General features: G+C 41.8%; 2 annotated features.

Annotated features, from left to right (window-relative positions):
- Positions 6,785 to 7,756: an enhancer, noted in NCBI's record as "VISTA enhancer hs472". NCBI's record gives its function as "enhancer in: hindbrain (rhombencephalon)[5/6] | eye[6/6] | heart[6/6]" and the evidence as "EXISTENCE:transgenic organism evidence [ECO:0001131][PMID:17130149]".
- Positions 10,089 to 11,507: an enhancer, noted in NCBI's record as "VISTA enhancer hs461". NCBI's record gives its function as "enhancer in: eye[9/9]" and the evidence as "EXISTENCE:transgenic organism evidence [ECO:0001131][PMID:17130149]".

The following is a 21,049-nucleotide window of genomic DNA, read 5'->3' as shown; positions in this document are numbered from 1 at the left end:
CCAGCCTTAGTCCATAGTAAAATAAGAAATACTACATGGATACTACCTGAACATGGAGGAAGGCTAACTACATGTTTTCTTAATTATTTGCATTTCATGAAGGCTACTTGCCTAGGATCAATGTGGATGGCTATTGAGAAAATATTAAAGACACTGAGATGAGCAAAGAGGGTGAGTCCTCTCTTTGGAAAGAGATGGGAGCCTCACATAATTTGTCACGCCCTCTGCAGTGTTCACTCTTCCTATCAGGTGCATACTTCCCTGGAATCAGTCAAAGCCTCAGGGGGTAGGGGGAGGTAGCGGAATACTGTTCTTTCCTCCTCCAGTCTCTCCCCTGCTCTGTGTCATCTCCTCCTCACTCTGTCACCCAAGGACCTAATGCCCCACTTCACCCTTCAACTGAACAAACCTAATCTCTAGAAAGGTACTTCTTCTGTATCCCACATTTTAGCCTTAGAAAACCAGCCCCACCTTGTCCTATTGGAATGAAGTTAGCTTTTACAAACCTCAGCAGTTCCTGAGTAATCTACTGCATGTCCCTTGTCCTGACAAAGGATTTCTCAGACATAGCTGAGAGGTGTGTTTTCTTTTATCGGCAAGAAAACTTACTTATTTTTTCTCTGATGCCCTTTGATTTATTTCCATTGAACACCTATAAACAATTCACCACCTCAATGCTAAGCACATTTATAGACTAATTCAGTATTTCTGAGGCCTTTTGTAGGCATCTCATATCTGCTCCTTGAGTAACAGAGGCAGCTGGGGCAGATTAAATGCAGTAATTCCTGTGAAATAAATTAGAATTTCTTGGATTCCCTATGAGTACAAATTATTTTGCTCTATCTTGTTATTTTAAAGGAAATAGTAAATGTCCTATTTGTGTGGCACCTGTGGATTTTTTTCTCAAAGGAGAAGGTGCAGATACACCTGAGTGCTGCCTTCTCTGTTTTACTACTCAAAGCATAAACATTGAAGACTTTTTAAAGACAGTCAATAAAGAACAATAGTTTAGTGTGCTGACATATGCTTTTTGCTTGTTTGTTTTGAGACAGGATCTTGCTCTGTCATTCAGACTGGAGTGCAGTGGTGAGATCTCAGCTCACTGCAACTTCCATCTCCCAGACTCAGTTGATTCTTGTGCCTCCACCACCTAAGTAACTGAGACTACAGGTGTGCACCACCATGCCTGGCTAATTTTTTTGATGTTTTTTGTTGAGACAGGGTCTTACTATGTGTCCCAGACTGGTCTTGGCTTCCCGGGCTCAAGTGATCCATCTGCCTTGGCCTCCCAAAGGCTGAAATTACAGCTATGAGCGTGCCCAACTGTAAACTGATATATGTTATTAGAATCTGCACCATATCCAAATGAACTTTAATTTTCTTCCACTCTTCAAGTTTGGAGGAAGAAACACATCATTTTTATTGCTGGTGTCAATTTTTAAGAAAAAAATTTCACTTTAACAAAACCAGGATTTTAAGATGAAAACAAAGTAGAATCAAACAAAAAGAAACAACAATTGCCACCCAGCTCCCCCGCTCAAGGAAAAACACCTGTGCCGTTGCTCAGCCACAGGATCAGTCCAGGCCTCCTGTGGCCACTAGCTGCAGTGGTTGGTTGTGTGCACTGCACTGCCCTCTGCTGGGTGGGCCAGCTCACATCTTACTTTTTTTTTTTTTTTTTTTTAATTGTGGTAAGAGTGCTAAACAAGAGATCTACCCTCTTGACAGATTTTTAAGTGCACAATACAGTATTGTTAACTATGGGCACAAAATTGTTCAGCAGATCTCTAGAACAAATTCATCTCATATAACTGAAATTTTATACCAGTTGAACAGCAACTCCCTGTTTCCCCCTTCTCCCACCCCCTGACAACCACCATTCTACTTACTGTCTGTTTCTATTAATCTGACTACTTTAGACACCTAATATGAATGAAGTCATGCAGTTTTTTCCCTTCCGCGGCAGGCTTATTTCACTTGGCATAACGTCCTACTGGTTCATCCATGTTGTTGCATATAGCAGAGTTTCCTTCTTTTTTAAAGCTGAATAATATTTCGTTGTATGGATATACCACATTGTCTTTGTCCATTTATCTGTCAGTGAACATTTAGGTTGTTTCCACATCTTGGCTATTGTGAACAGTACTGCAATGAACACAAAGGCTCACATCTTAATTCCATCTCCTCTGAGGCTTTTATCTGGAGTGGCCCATTTGATCTCTGCATTTGCCACTGTAGAGCCTGGGGCTTTGTAGTGGGACTAGGAGCTCCCATATACCCTATATCCATAAAAGTATGCTGCATTGCTTGTCAGGGCAAGGACCCTCCCTCTACCCTCCACCCAAGGATGAGACAGAAAGGGAGAGGACTTCAGCAATATTCATTATTGCTGATGAAGGTCACTGGGGTTGTAAAAGAAGGAGAAAGACTAAGACCGAGAAAGTCTGATGAGGGTTATGCTGGAGGTATTTGGGAGTGACAAGAAGGGAAGTATAATTTCAGAGGCCTGGCAATAAAGCACTGGAGAAAGGATATTTGGAAAATAACATTGGAAAGGGGCCCTTCATATCAAGCCACGAGAACAGGGCAGTAGATATACCCTGCTACCTCCTTGCTGGACAAGTATGTACCACAAATGAATCAGGCAAGTCCTTAAGGAATATCTAATCTACAGGGAAAACGAAACATGTGGACAGAAAACTCTATTCCAAGGTAGAAGTTTGTGTTGCCAGGGAGCCATGATTAATGTGTTCTCAGAGTTTAGAAGAGGAGAAAGCCCATGTGGCTGGGGGAGGATAGGAGAGGCCTCGTGGTGAAAGTAGGATTTTAGTGCAGACTTGATGAGCAAGGAAGACTGGATATGGAGAAGACCAGTCTTTAAAAGCTGTTTAGTTCTCATTTTAGTTCCTTAAAAAGCAAACTTTCAAGGGTAGATAGAGGGTGTGGGGAGGGAGAGGTCTAACCTCACTTTCTGAAATGGAATTTTCATGTAATAACCAATAGATCCTTTCACTGTAAAGATTTATGTCAAAATAAACATATGTAGTGGTAACTTTTGAAATTAGCTTCTCCAAATCAGTCTTAGATTTAAATAATTTAGAGGAACACGGATGTTATGGGCTGATGTGTGTCACTTGCCCCAAATTCCTGTGTTGAAGTCCTAACCCCCAGTACCTCAGAATATGGCTGTATTTGGAGATAGGGTCTTTAAAGAGGTGATTAAGGTAGAATGAGGTTTTATGGGTGGGCTCTAATCCAATATGACAAGTGTCCTCATAAGAACAGGAGATCAGGACACAGACTGAGGGGCAACGATGTTAGGACCGCAAACTGGGGAGAGAAGCCGCAGAAGCTATCAACCCTGCCAGCACCTCAGTTTTGGACTTCCAGCCTCCAGAACTGTGAGAAAATATATTTCTGTTATTGAAGCCACCCAGTCAGTGGTACTTTGTTATGGCGGCCCTGGCAAACCAATACAATAGGCATTACGGATTCATAAAACACAAAAACTTACTCCTGCGTTAAAGCTGGGAAACAATAGGCTCAGCCCTAGGAACAATCACTTGGATATTCCAAATGAGTATTTTCTTAAATAACAGGGCAGTCTGGATTGTCTTCCAAGTTGTTTGATTAAACATAGTAATATGTCCAACCAGAAAACCCCTAGCCATATTACAACAAACTAGTTGCTAGGATTTCTGTGTGATTGAAACTCTTTGACTTTTCAACCCATTGTTACTGCACGCGGAGACATACTCACTGTTCACCCTGGACTGCCAGATGATGTACTCTGTGTGAGTGTCAAGACTATTTTTACTATTGAATGTCACCTTTTGTGGCAGTCCATGTTTCTAGTTGCAAAGCAACCAAAATCCACTCTGACTAGTTTAAGCAGGAAAAGAATTTATTAATGAATATGAAGGAACTCACAGAATTGGGGGAAGGGCTAGAGAGAGGGACCTGAAGCTCAGCTCCTAGGAGCAACACCCAAACTCTGAACAGAAAATGGCCTGGCAAGAAAATCATTGTCTCTGACACTGCTGAATACCTAGTGCCAGAGATTCAGCTTTACTGCACCAGTTTTTCCATCCCTTTTGAGGACATTTCTGCAATAGGATCTTCCATGTGGAAGTCTTTCCCAGGTACAACTGACTGATGAACCCACAGGACAAATGTTGTGTCCTGGGTATGAAGGAGGCAAGTAACTTCATTTCCAACTTCTATATTGGGAGACATGGATATTTCAGCTAATAAAGGGAGGTTATTTTAAAGATGATGGGAACTAAAACTACCATTTGATCCCGCAATCCAACTACTGGGTATCTACCAAAAGTAAAAAATTATTACTAAAAGATACCTGCACTTCATTGCAGCACTTCTCACGATAGCAAAGATACAGAGTCAACCTAAGTGTCCCTCGACAGATGAATGGAAAAAGAAAATGTGGTATATATACACAATGGAGTACTATTAAGCCACTAAAAAGAATGAAATCATGTATTTTGCAGCAACATGGATGGGACTGGAAGCCATTATCCTAGGTAAAATAACTGAGACACAGAAAACCAAATACTGCATGCTCTCACTTATAAGTGGGATCTAACTAATGTTTACACATGGACATAGAGTATGGAATGATAGACAATGGAGACTGGAAAGGGTAGGTACTTGGGGGGTGGGGGGTTATGATAAGAAATTACTTAATGAGTACAATGTACCTTATTCAGGTGATGATTACCCTAAAAGCCCAGACTTCACCAGTACTCAACTACAAGTGTAACAAAATTACACATGTACCCCATCAGTTTATACAAATAAAAATAAACAAAAGTTGATGGGCAAGAAAGACTATAACAACTGCCCACTTCAAGTTTGGGGTTCTTCATTACTACTACGATGCTATGATTTTTTTGATGTTTAAGCCTTGAAAATAACAAAATTCATGTTGGACAAATTGAATGAGGATCCAGGCTGACAAGTCAAATATTGTCAATCAAATCCTCATCAAAATTTTATACAGAATTTCCTGCAGTTGATACATGTTCAGTATTCTTGGAAAATTCAAAAAGCATTTGTTGAGGAGTGAATAAATATTATGTAAAGTGTCCCTTCCGTTAATGAGAACACCAAAAACTATTAGACCCCAAATGGTTGGGCTGCAGTTCAAGATCCTTATTCTCATGCCCCCTAATGGTGTCTACTTTCTTACCCAAGAATATAGCTTCTCTTTTGCAATGGTGGTCTTGTTTCCCAATAGGACATTTGGGACGCATGATTCTGATAAAGAATCTTAGTAATTGGTTTTGGGCACAAGAAGCTGCTAGCTGGAAGCTCAAATATTAAAATGGTCATCTTGATGGTCGGTGAGGACAAGGGAACAGAATGTTTAAAGCTGGGATTATTCCAGAAAAGTATGATAGAGTCATGGTGCAGACCCATGGTATAATGGGTATAAGATTTGCTTTCAAGAGATGTTTTACAGGCATTTGTTGATTCATTCATGCATTCATTTTTTATTTTAACAAATATATATTGAGCACCTACTGTGTGCCAGACACTGAACTAAGCCCTTGTAGCATGTTCCACAAAGATTTTGCAGTCCAATAGCATCAGGCAGACAGCTAAGTAAAACAATGCAGCAAAAGTAGCTCTGGGAAGTAAATCTACAAGTCTGATTAACCACACACTGCGTTATAATTTAACAACAAAAAGTGAACTATAATTCTTTCTTAATTTGCTACGGAATATAATCACAAAAAGTCATGTATCAGTATCTCAGTCCCAGTGCATACTGGAACTCCATTAAGAGTGTTTGGAAGTCCACTGCCTCTGCGCTTCCGTTTGAAGACTTTGTTAGTTTCACTTTGCAAGCAATAAAATGTCAATGCATATCTAGAGCCCTGGATAGAAGATTCCACATAAATACAAAGGAAAGTAGCATGATTTCATTAGCTTGTATACAGAACAGACTTTTAATGAGAATTTCTCTTAGTTCAGTCCTTTCCCCCTTCTCTCTCAGGCATCTAATCATTTTCAATGACTTTTTCAAAACAAAACAACTTATATCTTAAAACCTGTGTGAAATCTTTAAGAAAGATCCCTTTCCAGTATTCCTACTGCACTTTGTTCATCTCTCTATGGGAGCAGGCATCATCTTATTTGATGTGTGTAGTATTTATTTTATTTTTGTCTGTCTACCACTGTACACCATGCATCCTTTTTCTATCCTTGGCACATAGAACCTGTAAGGTGAGCAATCTTTTCAGTATGAATGAGAAGATAATGGAATAAATGAATGAACCCCTTATCAACATCAGAAGAATGAAGAACAGTGTTCTAGTTAGGACTACAAGTTTAGGAGCAGCCTTGGGTTTATTAATTTGAGGACCTCAGGCAAATCATATAATCTCTCTGGATCCCAGTGGTTTAATCTGCAGTATGGGAACAATGAGTAGAACATGTCTCACAGGCTTGTCTGTGAAGATGAAGAGGGCTGATGTGTATAACGTTTGGAAGGCAATGCTGCTGCTCTGTGCCAAACCTGGGGCAGATCTTTGCAAAGAGTGTCAATAGTTATCATGGTTATTAACAATGACTGAAGAAGAGCTTTATTGCAGCAAGCACCTAGGATGCAGGGGCACTGATTTTCTGGGTAGAACAGTTGCACTGGCCCTTGGCTGCTATGTCCTTTGCCTCACACCCCTTCCCAATGTGGAAGCAACACCTCTGCTTGTCCCGAATCTCAGTGCATTTTTCACCCCTTGGGAAGGTGGCGTTTTTTTCTTACTGCCACAGCTCAAATTTTTCTTTCTCTGCCTCCCACTTCCCTGGAAGGGTATTTGATAGGAAAATGTCCCCAGCCTCATTGGAAAGCCCAACCTACTAATTCATCATAAAACATAGAAACCTAATAGGCTGGCTTCATTAAACTGGGACCCCAACAACACTGCACCACAAAGCCTAGGGAGTGGAGGACGTCGGCAGAATATCCCCTTCTCCCTGCCCCAAACAAAAACACACACACTGTCTTAAAAATAGCCAGAATTCTTTTTTTCTGTTTCTCTTCAACAGGAGGCTCATTCTGAAATTGAACCAAGTGGAAAAACACAAAGCCCTTCAGATGTGTCCAGCTTTGTAGCATTAAATTCGGATGGAGCATGTGACGGGGTGGGGGTGGTTTCATAATATAGTGAGTGGAACCTTTTAGCTTCAGTAAGTGAGTCTGATTCAGGAATGCAGGCGATTGTATCTCCAAAAAAATCAATATTAAGATGCACAATTATTCCCCTGGTATTGAAAGAATTAGTTGATCTACATGCTAAATGACAAGCCTCTTGATAACAGGGATTATGTGACCTGCCTTTCCAGCCAGAGCTGCTAGAGACGGTCCTTTAGGTCCCTAAGGCAGAGATAATCTAATTAGAACAACAAAGACCAGGTCCATTTGAGGAGAAGGCAACCGTGGGGGTGGGCGGGGGTCGGGAGGTGATGGTGGGTGTGCAGGGAGCCCTGCGGGGTCTGTGATGGCTGGGAGGGGCTTGTACAGAGCAACAGCAAGTAGGTGGGGAGTTGCTAGGGGGTGAGGCCGGAGGGGAAGGGACGCCTGCAGAAAGGGGTGGACAGAGGTCACCTCTAAAACATGACTTAATCTCCACTTTGGCTCCACAAACACTGCCCCGCTGGCTCCCAGACTGCGGCCAGACTTGACAGGATGAGTGAGCAGGGCTCCAGACATTCAGACACGCAGAGGTCTTACTAGCCCGCCACCGCCACCGCCGCCGCCGCCACCACCGCCACCGCCACCGCCACCGTCACCGCCACCGCCATCACCACCGCCACCACCACCACCACCACCAGAGAGAAATAAGAGGCCTGGGAGACATACGTGGGCCACTCCAACCCCAATCTTCTCACTCCTCTGGGAATTCCCCACCATCTAAAGACCAAAAGACCAGAGTCTGATGGAATTTCCACCTGTCCATAGCAAGACAAGAAAAATATAGACATGGGCTACATTTTCACAAAGCTCAATATCTTTTATTAAAAGATCTGTCCTCTCTTCTGATATTATGTCCTTCTTATGTTTTTGGTGGTAAAGATTCCCTTTTAAAAGATGGATAATGGGGATTTTTCTTCTGATTGTTTTGGTGTTTTTTTGTTTGTTTGTTTTGTTTTTGTAATGTTCTTACCTGGTACAATAAAAAGCTTCTGTTGATTCCAAAAACAATTTGTTTCTAAAACTTTGTCTGACTTTAAAAAACAAAAATCTATGAAATTGTCTTGTTAGACTTCTCAGCAAATGTTTTTAAATTTGATACTCATGTTTTTCTTCTTCTTAGGGAAAAAAAAAAATCAGACCAAATAAGCTTTGCTTTTAGTTCCTGTATCCTCCACAACTTTTCATTCCCAGGGTATTTTGAGCAAACGCTTTTTGAAAAAGCTGTTTTCGGCACCATGGAATTCTAAGGCAATGGGGCATTTATTAAGTAAGTCGTTTTTCCATTTTTTAAAAGCAAAGGGGCTTTGTCATGCAATCATTTCACTAAAACCTCACTGTGTACACAGTGTGATCTAAAGCAGAGAGGCTCTGACTTTGGGAAGGCGTTGAGGGGAGCTCAGAGCCCTGCCCTGGTCACCTCAGGAGAGCCTCGGGCCTTCAAACATAGCCTGAAAATGATTGCCAGAGGTGGTCCTCCATGTTTTCCTGAACTGTGGGTGGTGGGTGTGCTAGAGACCAGTTCCCCATCAGCCTGCCCAGCCCTGGGTGGGTAGGAGACCACCCCCTTGCCTCTCTAGCTTTTCATGGTGTTGAGAGACTGGACCCTGAAAAGCCAAGTGGGCATGAGGAAAACCTTCCCAAACTCAGGGCAGTGGAGATGACTTGTTTGAGAGGCCTCCCTACTTGTCTATGAACGCACAGGTGCTAACCATGAAAAGAACTCAAAAATTCTGGTAATATTGGCACTCAAAGTGGGAAATGAAGGAACTTTGTTGGGACAGGGGGTGGATGATGGAGAGGACAGGGTTTCAGTTATCCGCCAGGCTGGTCCTGTTGGCAAACACATACTAATAATCCTATCTATGAATAAAAAGCAGTTGGAAAAATATGTGAGGAGGCCTTAATGATAGTAAAAGATCCTGAATTTTTATTCTTCCTTCCCTCATCCCCTAATACAAATTCTCAACTTTCTTAGAGACAGCCTCTGGGTAAATAATTAATTACTTTGGCATTATTTTTACTCATAATAATATCAGTGATAATAATTATATTTTCTTTCTTTATAAGAAAAGGCTTGCAGGTTTTTGCTGAGGGAAGAAATTGTAAAAATTTTTGCATGATGGTTTTTTCTATTTAAAGAACTGAATGAAATCTTTAAGGACGTTATCTGTATTTGACTTCCTTCCTAAGTTCTGAGGACCAAATCCTAGAATAAATGACAGTTAACATCTGCTTAGCTTAAGATGACACTTGGAAGGCTTAACAATCTCTCTCAACTTATTGAGGTACCAATAATTTATATTAAATTGATTCACTTGGGCTTATACTTGAGTTTGATTTTTAGAAAATGCTGCCTTCATGTCAATCTCACTATGATTGATTTTGAAAGGCAGTCATGGTTCAATGAATGAGAAGGGAGAAGGTAAGAGGGAGGAAATCTCTAAGCCCTCCTTCTCTTCTAACTGAATCAAAATATACATGTATATTTTTAAAAATTAATTTTAAATTCACTGTTCACATTGACTCTAATGTCAACTATTGAAAACTTATTGTGTCCCTACTATTCTTGAAGATATCAAAAAAACATTCTTCACTGGGGAGAAAAGACTAACAGGAACAAACTTACTCAGTCCCTGAGCAAGGTTGTGTCATTAGGTGGCATATTGTTCAGTACAGTCACAGCTCAGTGGACATCCATGTGGGCTGAAGGCTGGGTGGAGACACAGGCCTTGAGGCTTGACTTGAGAGATGGAGAGAGTCATGCACAGCAGCCCAGGCAGGAAGACACATGGAAGAAGAAAATGCAGAAGCAGAAGAAAGATACCCTTGTGGCTCACTGGGAAGGCTGAGTCAGGTTCAGACTCCAATATAGGACCCCTATTTGGGAGACAGAATATGAAGCGAGGTGCGTCAGATGAGGCTGGGTTATGGTAGTGTTCACATCCAAGCCTGGAATGGCTGTTGCACATCACCATTCCTTTGTCCACAAAGACATCCACAATGGGTCATGACACTCCATGTCCTCTGTAGCTCTTCAGGTAGCCACTGCCAGCCAATTGAGCAGATTTGGCCTTCAAGATGAAATCTATTCTCTAATCCCATCTCAGGCAACATATTTAGGAAATGGAGAGATAGCGAGTGAAGAATAGATGAATGAAGAAGACAGGGGTCCCTAAACTTCCCACTTACTGTTGATTTCAACCTTTCCTAACACATTTACGTTTTAAGTGGGAGCTGGACACGATGGAAGATCACTGGACTGGAGATCCTAGGGCTTACATTAAAGCTCCATTTCTGCCACTAACTTCCCCCAGTCTGTGCCTCATTTTCGTTATCTGTAAAATGAAAAGATTGAAATAGATGATGGATAAGATGTGTCCTGACATTGCCTTTTGAGAGTCCTACAAATGCCAACAGAAAAGAAGCCAGGCTGAGCTTTGCAGGGGTCTCCTCTAGGAAGAGATGGAGGCTGGTACAAGCACAGCCAAGCCATGGAGGGGAAGAGGAAGCCAAGGTTCTGGCTGACCCACACCCTAAGTTAACAGCTCCTGGATAACTGAGAGCAAGCAGCATCAGTCACTGTTTGTGTTGGATGATCCATATGGCACGGAACATGTAGTTTAGGCGCCTTGAGGTCTCTCAGTAGGAAGTCGATGAAAGGCCTCATCTGGAAACAGCTTCTCTAAGGATCAAGGCAAGTGGGAAAAGTTTGTGTATCCTTGTTTGCCTCCCTCTGGATTACCCTGGCCCTGTCCTCAGCTTCACGTGGCCAGTTTGGCAGATGTCCCCACCCAAAGGCACTTCACAACAAAGCAGCCTTTCTCACCGATGACGTCTCCTACCTCCAGCTTGCCTGCTTCATTGGCCTCTAAGGGATGCATTTTGGAGACATGAGATGAGGCAGGATGAGGTCATGGCTCCATGCAAAAGGACAGGAAGACCGTGCCTTCCTTCATGCATGGAGCTGCACACCCTCATCCATGGAGGTTATTACCCCATATGCCGACAGCAAAAGATCAGCTCTGGCAGCCAGCTTGCCAGCGGCTCTGTTGAAACTTCAAGAATGCAGATAAGGCTGAGCAGCTTGGAGCCATGGTATTTGAATGTCTAGCTAGGCATTTTGCAGGCCTGGCTTGGCTTAATTTATTAATTTATTTGTATTCCCACCAGGACATGACAAGACTCTGTGCTTCCCTCTTGAAATGTGCCTTTTCTCAAGGTCCCTGCATGTCCATTCAGGGGCTGAGTATGCAAGGTCTACAAGGTCTGATGGAGAGGTCTACATGGCAGGAATAACATCTGTCTTTCAATTTGTTGCTTTTTAGAAAGCTCTTTGCATGGATGCTAAACAAAATACTTGTCTACTGTCACTTTTAAAGTACTTCTTGGAAACACATGGCTAGAGACAATGAAGGGGAAAACTAACTATTATTTACCGATATTTTGCATCTCTTAGTTCTAGGATACACAGAAGTCCATGACTAGAAATGAGGAGCTGGGACTCAAATGAGCCGAACTTGTTTCTGTCCCTCTCTTGAGTTGGGCTTTGTCACATCCATGCACCCATTAATTGATTCTTCCATCCTTCTGTCCATCTGTCTGTTTAGCCATGCATCTGTCCATCCATCCACTTTCTCATTCAACTGTCTGATACTTATTGCCTCCTCTGTGCCCAGCACCGAGGTTGCCATGGTGAATGAGACAACTTTCACCTTCACAAGCCCATGGCTGGAGGGGGCAGGTGTTTATGGGGAACTCTGTTGCTGGAGATTCTCTGGAGTTGTTGAGCTGCAGGTACAACTGGTTTTCTGCAGGCAGGATGGACTCTGCCTGGGTGTGCACTGCTTGCTGCTCAGAGCTTCTGATCTTTTAACAAATGAGGAAATGTTTCTTGTGGCCATGGAGCTTTCTATTCTACCTTCAGGATTTTTATATCTAATTTAGGAAAGAGACTAAAAGAGTAGGGAACATAGCTGAAGTCTTACTGACCCCTCTGTCTCTCACTATGGTGGAGAGAGGCATTGGTTTGGAGCTGTCCAGCTGGGCACTTGCCCTGATATCTGAGCCTTAGTTTCTCTTTCCCTAAACGCCAAGTGATAACATTCATTCTTCTGTGTCATTGTTGTGAGGACTGCATGAGATGAAGTGCACTGAGTCCTTAGCATAAGGCCTGCAATGTTATAAGCCTTCAGCAGATGGGAGTGCGTATTCTCATTAAACCTGACAGTGGGTTAGAACAGAGCTCTCTCACTTTCACAAGGGCTGTTAGTGGCTGTCAGTAACTAAGATTTGGACTTTATTTTACATTTCTTCACAAAATTGAGGTCCTCACCATGCTGTCACACAATAACAAGCAATCAGGCAGGGTTTCAAGCAAAGTAATGATTATCTTTTCCCTAATAACTTTCAGGTAGGACCTCAATTACTCTGTAATGAACATTAGTGTTCTTTGTCCCTGTCTGTGTGTCTCTGTGTAGGTATGTTTGTGTGTGTGTGTGTGTATGTGTAGGTGGATATGTATTTGCAGGACATAGATATGGCTAGGCTCCCCTAAAATTTTACCTAAAATAGTACTGAATTGTATGTGAATTGTTGAAAGTAGCATCATTCCTGAGTACAAAGAAGGAAAAGAGGAGGGAAAGAATAGAAAGGCTTTCTTTCCTAGTAGACACGTGGAAGAGAATGGGAGGAGGTCCTGGGACCAGAGGAGAGGAGGCAAAGACGTAAGCATGGGCTGCCATGGGCAGAACAATGTCTGCTGCTTCAGGGCACTAGTTTTCCTCTCTGCAGTGGAAAAGCATTTCCCTTTGAGGGGCAGACACTCCACCCCACAGGGCAGACACCAGCACAGGTGGCCCCCTTTCCATCTGCACAATGTTTAGGGAGCTTATGAGATGGTCTTTCATTCTGTGACAAGCCCCAAGGCACCCCCAAGAGAAAGTGTGTGGAAAGTGAGTGTATATGGCTTCCTTTGGGCTGGGAGCTTGCCTGCATGTGGAGCCAGACTTCATCCATTGCGGAAGCTTTGCTGCTTTTTTTCTTCCTTTCCTCCTACTCCTTGAAACCCCTGAGGATAGTTGTAGTTTTCCTCTGGATGCTTCTCATCAGATGATTGTATTAGTTTCCTATTGCTGCTCTAACAAGTTGCCACAAACTTAGTGGCTTAAAACAAAACAGATTTGTTATCTCATAGTTTCCATAGGTCAAAAGTCTGAGGATGGCTTTCTTGGGCCTTCTGCCTGGAGCCTCACAAAGCTGCAGTCAAGGAGTCCACTAGGTTGCATTCTCATCTGGAGGCTCAGTGGGAGAAGAATCCACTTCCAAGCTCATTCAGATTGTTGGCAGAGTTCATTTCCTTGCAGCTGCAGGACTGAGGGTCTGGCTTTTGCTGGCTGTCAGCTGGAGGCCACCTTCAGCTCTGGAGGCTGTCTGCAATGCCCCCACACAGGGACATCCTCATCACAGTGCTTACCTCATCAATCCAGCAAGGAGAGTCTCTAGTGTAGGTCCACAGGCAAGATGGAGTCTTTAAAGTATAACATAATTATGGGAGTGACATCCTTTTATCTTTGCTATATTCTATTGGTTGGAAGCAAGTCACAGGTCAGGCCTACGCACAGGTGCTCCTCAAGGGGAGAAGGTTACACAGGTATGAACACCGGGGGTGGAGGTCCTGGGGCCACCTTACATCCTGTCCACCACTGTGACCTACATATTTCAAATTTTCCCACAGGTGTTCTAGTGGCAAAGAACAGTCAGAAGCTCCCACCTCAGAGTGTCTGCTGCAAAGCTAGCCCCTTCGACTTGGAGTCCTCATCTGTTCTCAGCACTTTTCTCCCAGACCTGAACCCGAGTCCCACCGCTCATGTCTCGACCTTCGTGGACGGTAGTTGCAGATACCTTTTTGGCACCATCTACGTAGTCACCAGGCAGGCACACAAGACTTCTGACATCACCCTCGAGTCTTCCTTTCTTCCTGACTCATGCAAGCATTTCCCAACTCCCATCAATTTTAGCTCCTAATTGTCCTTCAAATCTGTTCTTGCTTCTCATCAGCACAGAGACCAGCTTAGTCTAACATTTCCTTATCTTTTGCTTAATCTACAGTAGTCCCCAACCAACTTCTCTGCTTCCAAGTTTTACCTCCTCAAATCCATTCCCACGTCTCGTCTCTCCCAGCACCATTCCCTTTCCCACTCTCTCCTCCAGCAAACCCAAACTGTTCATTGTCTTCCTTTGGCACCACGCTATTTCAGACCTCTGTGGATTTGCACATCGTGTTTTTTTTTCTCTACAGTTCTCTTCTCCAGTGCAATCTCTACCATTTGACTGTCTAGAAAACACCTACTCATCCTTTGGAATCTGACTGAGGTCTTGGGAAGATTTTCTTGACTATAGACAAAATAATTCACTTCCTTAACTGCTTCTTTGAACTTATTTCTGCTTTTTTTTTTATTTTGTTCTTGTTTTGCATATTCGTAACTAAATGCACCATCCCTGGTATTTTTTGGCTTGTTGATCGTTCTCTGTCCTACTTGCTTGAGAAAAGAATGTGTAACTCACCTGTCTTCATCTTCTCAGTACCAAGTACAACACTCCAATGCATAGTAATCAATAAATGTTGCTGAACTCAATTAGCATTTTTGAAATTATTTGGCCAGCTTTGGGGAATTTGTCAAATCCTATGTGATACCAGGATTATTTTAAACCTGGTTTTACACTCATACTTAACTTTAGCAGTTTGGGGTTCAGTTATGTATTTGATGCAATTTTTAATACCTTGCCCCCAATCTTTCCTCAGTTAGTTTTCATTTATTTCCAGCTCTCTTTGGTAGAGCTCAACAGCAATGAAGAAAGGAGCTGTATGTTTTTCAATAAGGAGCTTTTCGTGTTTCTTTTTCCAAGTGTTATCTCAATTCTGTGACCACAGAGAGCATTCCACAACAACATCACACTTTTCAAGTAAGCAGTCAGCCTCGAGTAAGAATTCAATGATCTCCACATCCTGATATTTTTTTTTCCTTCTCCAAACAGCTGGGGCCCAGCAGAAAGTAGAAAGTCTTTGCTTCATTTGCTTTCCTATGATGCCATTGACTCTTGCTTCTTCACAGCAATGTGGCAGCGAGAGCCAGATGCACCATCTTTGAGGGGGGCTGCGTGGCTCAGTGGAAGAATGGGCACCCAGAGCAGTGGCAGAGGGCACACCTCAAGTCACTGTATGTAGTAGCCTGGATCCTCACTTCAAATCCTAGCACCACTATTTACAGCTCATGTGAACTAGAGCAAGTTATTGGGCCTCTCTGTGCCTCAGTTTCCTCATCTGTAAAACAGGGCTAATATAGGACTATCCTCATGGAGTTATTGTGGGAATGAAAGAAGATGAAGCACATACACATACAACACTTAGAGGAGAGTCTTTCACATTCTAACGTTATAAGCATTCACTAGCCATTAGCCAGGCAATTCTCATTACCCCAGAACTTAATTTCCACTTTTCTGAAAGGACATCAAATGAGGGACCGTATTTTCTGGAACTGGTCCTCCTCATTTTCAAGATGCAAATTTCCAGAAAAGGCATCAAGATGAAAAAATGATCAGCTTCTCTAACATCACCTTTTCTAAGGGAACTTTTATCTAATCCACTTCATTTTTCTTATCTAACAGTATGAGTAGTATCTCCTGCTTCTAGTATTTCTTTCTTTTCTTTTTTTTTTTCAAATTCCCTTTCCCAGAATTCTAAAGGTTTATCTGAATTGAGAGATCCTCTCTATCTTTCTTCTGTTAGATTGTTTCTTGGTTTAAATTAATATCCGCAAACATAGACTGAATGCTTCCATCTGCGTGGGAGGCTTGGTGTTTGTTTTTACTTTGTTCTTCTCTGGACAGTGTTAAGAAGGGCTTGAGGGGATGATTTGGGATTCTTCTTCTGCAGGGACCCTTGAAGAGACATCCCTGGGAAGAGGTCAGAGTTGTGGATGTGTGTGTGCGCCTGAGCTAAGGTGTGGGAGTGAAGACACAGTGACAGAGTGCTGTGTCGCAGGAGGATGGATGGAGGAAGATGAAAGGAAACTATCAGGAAAGAGCCCCTCAAGATAGAGCCATTGAACAGCACTGACAGGTCCATGATTGAGCATGCCTGACCATTTCTCACTCCTTCCCAGGAGAAAGGAGAAGTGGGAAGAGACTCAGTGCTCATGGAGGACCGATCACGTGCCAGGTGAGGGGTAGGACATACTCATAAACCTTATCTCTCTTTTTAAAGCAACCCTGTGAGGTTGGTGGTGGTCCCTGTTTCACCCATGAGAGAGTTATTTCTTCTAAAAAGTCATACTGTATTAGGGGGCAGAAATAGGTTTAAATACAGATATCTCAGATAGCAGAGTGTGTTTTCCTTTGTAATGGATTCATTGTAGCTGAAACTTAAAAGTTTAAAGACCCCATGCTGTTCAGTGCAGGAGATGATCAAGCGTGGGAACATATAGACATCACTGTCTTCTTTCTGCAAGTCTTGGACTGTCACTCTCACAAGCCACCAAGATAACTCCCTGAGTACTTGGTAGTTGTTAGAGGAGTTTAAAAAAAAATCTGTTACCCAACTTTTTCAAGGAAATGCCTATCAGCTAAAATGATTCAAGATAAGGGTAAGCAGATATCAAAACAGACCACCAAGGAGCTGAGAAGCCTGAGGAAATTTGGGAGAATTGTGACAGGTGATAGAGGGGTACAGGGACACATGGACTCAGATATAGGAAGTCACAGGCAGTACCAACACCTGTTAGAGAGACATCATTGTTAATGCTTCTATTCCATTTATTTAAAGCCCGAGATGCTCAAGATGTTGCATGGAAAACAATTGCTCTGAAACAAAGGAGAGAGGGCATTCTTCCACCATAGATTTGCATTATGCTTCACTTTCACATAATGAAGGGGAGAAACTGGGGAGGGGCAGATGGGGACAGGCTGACTTCATTCTTCATGGCATGTGCTGCTTGGTCCAGCAGCATGGCCAGTGTGATGACATGGGAGAGGGTGTGTGGAAGAGTCCCCTTCTTTACCTGCCAGTGGATCCACACAGCAGCCTCTGGGTTAAAGTACCCTCAAGCTACCCCTCAGTTGTTGGCACAGAACAGAAAGCCTCAAAGTCCAGAATTTTCCAGCAACTCTCTATCTTTTATTTTAAAAAGCCTGTTATAGCAATTTTAGCAACTAATGATTTCTATTTTACATGGCAGCTTTGAATCATGTATATTTTTCATCTCAGTCTAATTACTGAATATCCGATGACACTGTGTGTCCATTGTGACCAAGAAGTGAATACCTTATAGAAGTGTTGATATTTCTGCTCTCAAACTAACGATTGAGTTACTTCATTGCTTTCTTCAGGGCTCTTAGAAAAATGACAGGGTGTTAAAAAGAATCCATCAATATGTCTCAGGAAAAAATTATCAGCAAACATAATTTTTTTTTTTTTGAGACAGAGTTTTGCTCTTGTTGCCCAGGCTGGAGTGCAATGGCATGATCACAGCTCACTGCAGCCTCTGCCTCCAGGGTTCAAGCGATTCTCTTGTCTCAGCCTCCACAGTAGATGGGATTACAGGCGCATGCCACCATGCCCAGCTAATTTTTTTGCATTTTTAGTAGAGATGGGGTTTAACCATGTTGGTCAGGCTGGTCTGGAACTCCTGACCTCAGGTGATCCACCCGCCTTGGCCTCCCAAAGTGCTGGGATTACAGGCATGATCCACCGCTCCTGGCCAACAAACGTAATTTTGAAGGACTAACTATCCACAATTCAGATGACAATGATAAGCTAAACTTCAGTAGCTTTGTTAATAGAGGTGTCCACAGTCTATGCTTTAATCAGCTTTAGTCAACTAATGAACATTAACTGTAACAGTCATTCATTCCTTTAACACACATTTATTGAAATATTTAAAATGTTTAACAGTTTAAAAATCTTAGAATAACACACATTTATTGAAATATTTAAAATGTTTAACAGTTTAAAAATCTTAGAAAATACCTTTTCCTAAATTGCATGAGCATTGCAACCTAGCATGAATTATTGCTTTGGATTTTAAATAGATTTTCAGTTTAATTTATTGGAAAACTGGGATAATTTCATGGGCAATATTTTGGCATCTAGCACAACTTGGATATTCAATAAATGTGTTAAATTAAACTGCATTACTAAATAATAGGAGATCTTGAAACAGAAGCGTAGTTTTTGAGTCCATTCCAATTTAAGCAGTATTCATTATATGTATAAATTTATGTGCATAGGACTGAAAATAGAGCCAATAATTTAAAACTTTTAAACTTTGTGTAAGTGTCTGAAAAAGCCACATTTAATTTCCAATTAATACTATGGGAGAGGAGAAGCAATTTGTCTAATGAAACTCAGAGTGCCACAGCTTGTCTTTGGTTGATTAGCAGATTGCGACTTTTAGCAAATTTTCTCTGCTGTATTATCCTGGAAAAGCCTATTATTTTATAACTTACACAGACTAGACTATTACAGGCATATGTTGGAGATATTGTGGGTTTGATTCCAGACCACTGTAATAAAGTGATTATCACAATAAAGTGAGTCACCCAAGCTTTTTGGTTTTCCAGTGCATATAAGTTATGTTTATACTATTCTGTAGTCTAAGTGTGCAATAGCATTTTTTTTAAAAAAGCCAATGTACATACCTTAATTTAAAAATACTTATTTTATTGCTAAAAAATGCTAATGATCATCTGAGCCTTTAGCAAATTATAATCTTTTAGCTGGTGGAAGTTCTTGCCTAAGTATTGCTAGCTACTGACTGATCACAGTGGTGGTTGCTAAAGGCTGCGGTCTATGGGGGACATTACTTAAAATGAGACAATGAAGTTGGCCCCAGGGATTGACTCTTCCTTTTATAAAAGATTTTTCACAGTATGGGATACCATTTGATAGCATTTTACCCATAGCAGAACTTCTTTCAAAATTGTAGTCAGTCTTCTCAAACATTGCTGCTGTTTTATCAACTCAGTTTTGGGAATATTCCAAATCTTTGTTGTAATTTCAACAGTGTTCACAGCATCCTCACCAGGAATAGATTCCATCTTAAGAAACTACTTTGTTTGCTCATCCATATGAAGCAACTCCTTGTCTATTCAAGTTTTATCCTGAGACTGCAGCAATTCAGTCACATCTTCAAGCTCCCTTTTGTCTCTAGTTCTCTTGTTATTTCCATCACATCTGCAGTTCCTTCCTCCATTGATGTCTTAAACCCTTCAAAATCATCCAGGAGAGTTGGAAGCAGCTTCCCCCAAACTCCTGTTAATGTTTATATTTTGACTTTCTCCCATAAATCACAAATGTTCTTAATGGCATCTAGAATGGTGACTCCTTTCCAGAAGGTTTTCAATTTATTTTGCCCAGACCCATCAGAGGAATCACAATCTAAGGCAGCTATAGCTTTAAAACATGCATGTCTTAAATACTATGAGTTGAAAATCAAAATGAATCTTTGATCCATGGGCTACAGAATGGGTGCTATATTAGCAGACATGAAAACAACTTTCATCTCCTTGTACATCTCCATTAGAGTTCTTGGGTGACCAGGTGCAGTGTCAATGAGCTGTAATGTTTTCAAAGGAATCTTTTTTTCTAAGCAGTAGGTCCCAACTGTGGCTTAAAATATTCAGTAAACCATGCTGTGAACCAATGTACTATTATCTAGCCTGTATTGTTCCACTTACAGAGGACAGGCAGAGTAGATTTAGCATACTCTTAAGGGCCGTAGGATTTTCAGAATGATAAATGAGTGCGGGCTTTAACTTACAGTCACCAGCCACATTAGACCCTAATAAGAGTCAGCCTGTCCTTTGAAGCTTTGAAGCCAGGCATTGACTTCTCTCTAGCTAGAAAAGTCCTAGATAGCATCTTCTTCCAATATGAAGATGCTTTATCTACATTGAAAATCTGTCGTTTAGTGTATTCACCTTCATCAACAGTGTTAGCTAGATTTTCTGGATAACTTATTGCAGCTTCTCTGTCAGCATTTGCTACTTCACCTTGCACTCTTTTATGGAGATGGCATCTTTCCTTAAACTTGTGAACCAACATCTGTTAGCTTCCAACTTTTCTTCTGCAGCTTCTTTACTTCTTCCAGTCTTCATAGAATTGAAGAAAGTTAGAGTCTTGCTCTGGATTAGACTTTGGCTTAAGGGAATGTTGTGGCTGGTTTGATCTTCTATCCAGACCACTGAAACTTTCTCCGTATCACCAATAAGGCTGTTTTGCTTTCTTATCATTCGTGCGTTCACTGGAGTAGCACTTTTAATTCTCTTCAAGAACTTTTTCTTTGCATTCACCACTTGGCTGTCTGGCACAAGAGGCCTAACTTTAGGCCTATCTTGGTTTTCAATATGCCTTCCTCATTGCTAGCTTTTCATTCAAAGTGGGAGACATGCGATTCTTCCTTTCATGTGAGTGCTCAGAGACCTTTGTAGGGTTATGAATTGGCCTAATTTCAATATTGTTGTGTCTCAGGAAATAGGGAGGCCCCAGGAGAGAAAGAGAGAAGGGGGAAGCAGTCAGAACACACACAGCATTTATTAAGTTTGCCTTCTGAAATGGATGTGGTTTGTGGTGCCCCAAAATAATTATAATAGTAACATCAAGGATCACTGGTCACAATCATAGCAGATATAATAATGATTAACATTTCAATATTGTGAGAATTATCAAAATGTGACAGAGACAGGAAGTGAGCAATCCTGTTGGAAAAGGGGTGCCGATAGACTTGCTCAACACAGGGTTGCCACAGACCTTCAATTTGTAAAAAACTCAGTATC

This window comes from Homo sapiens, chromosome 7 (genome assembly GCF_000001405.40).
Source record: "Homo sapiens chromosome 7, GRCh38.p14 Primary Assembly".
NCBI lineage: Eukaryota > Metazoa > Chordata > Mammalia > Primates > Hominidae > Homo > Homo sapiens.
Note: the sequence above shows the minus strand (reverse complement) of the source record. Positions and strands in the feature narration are given on the sequence as shown.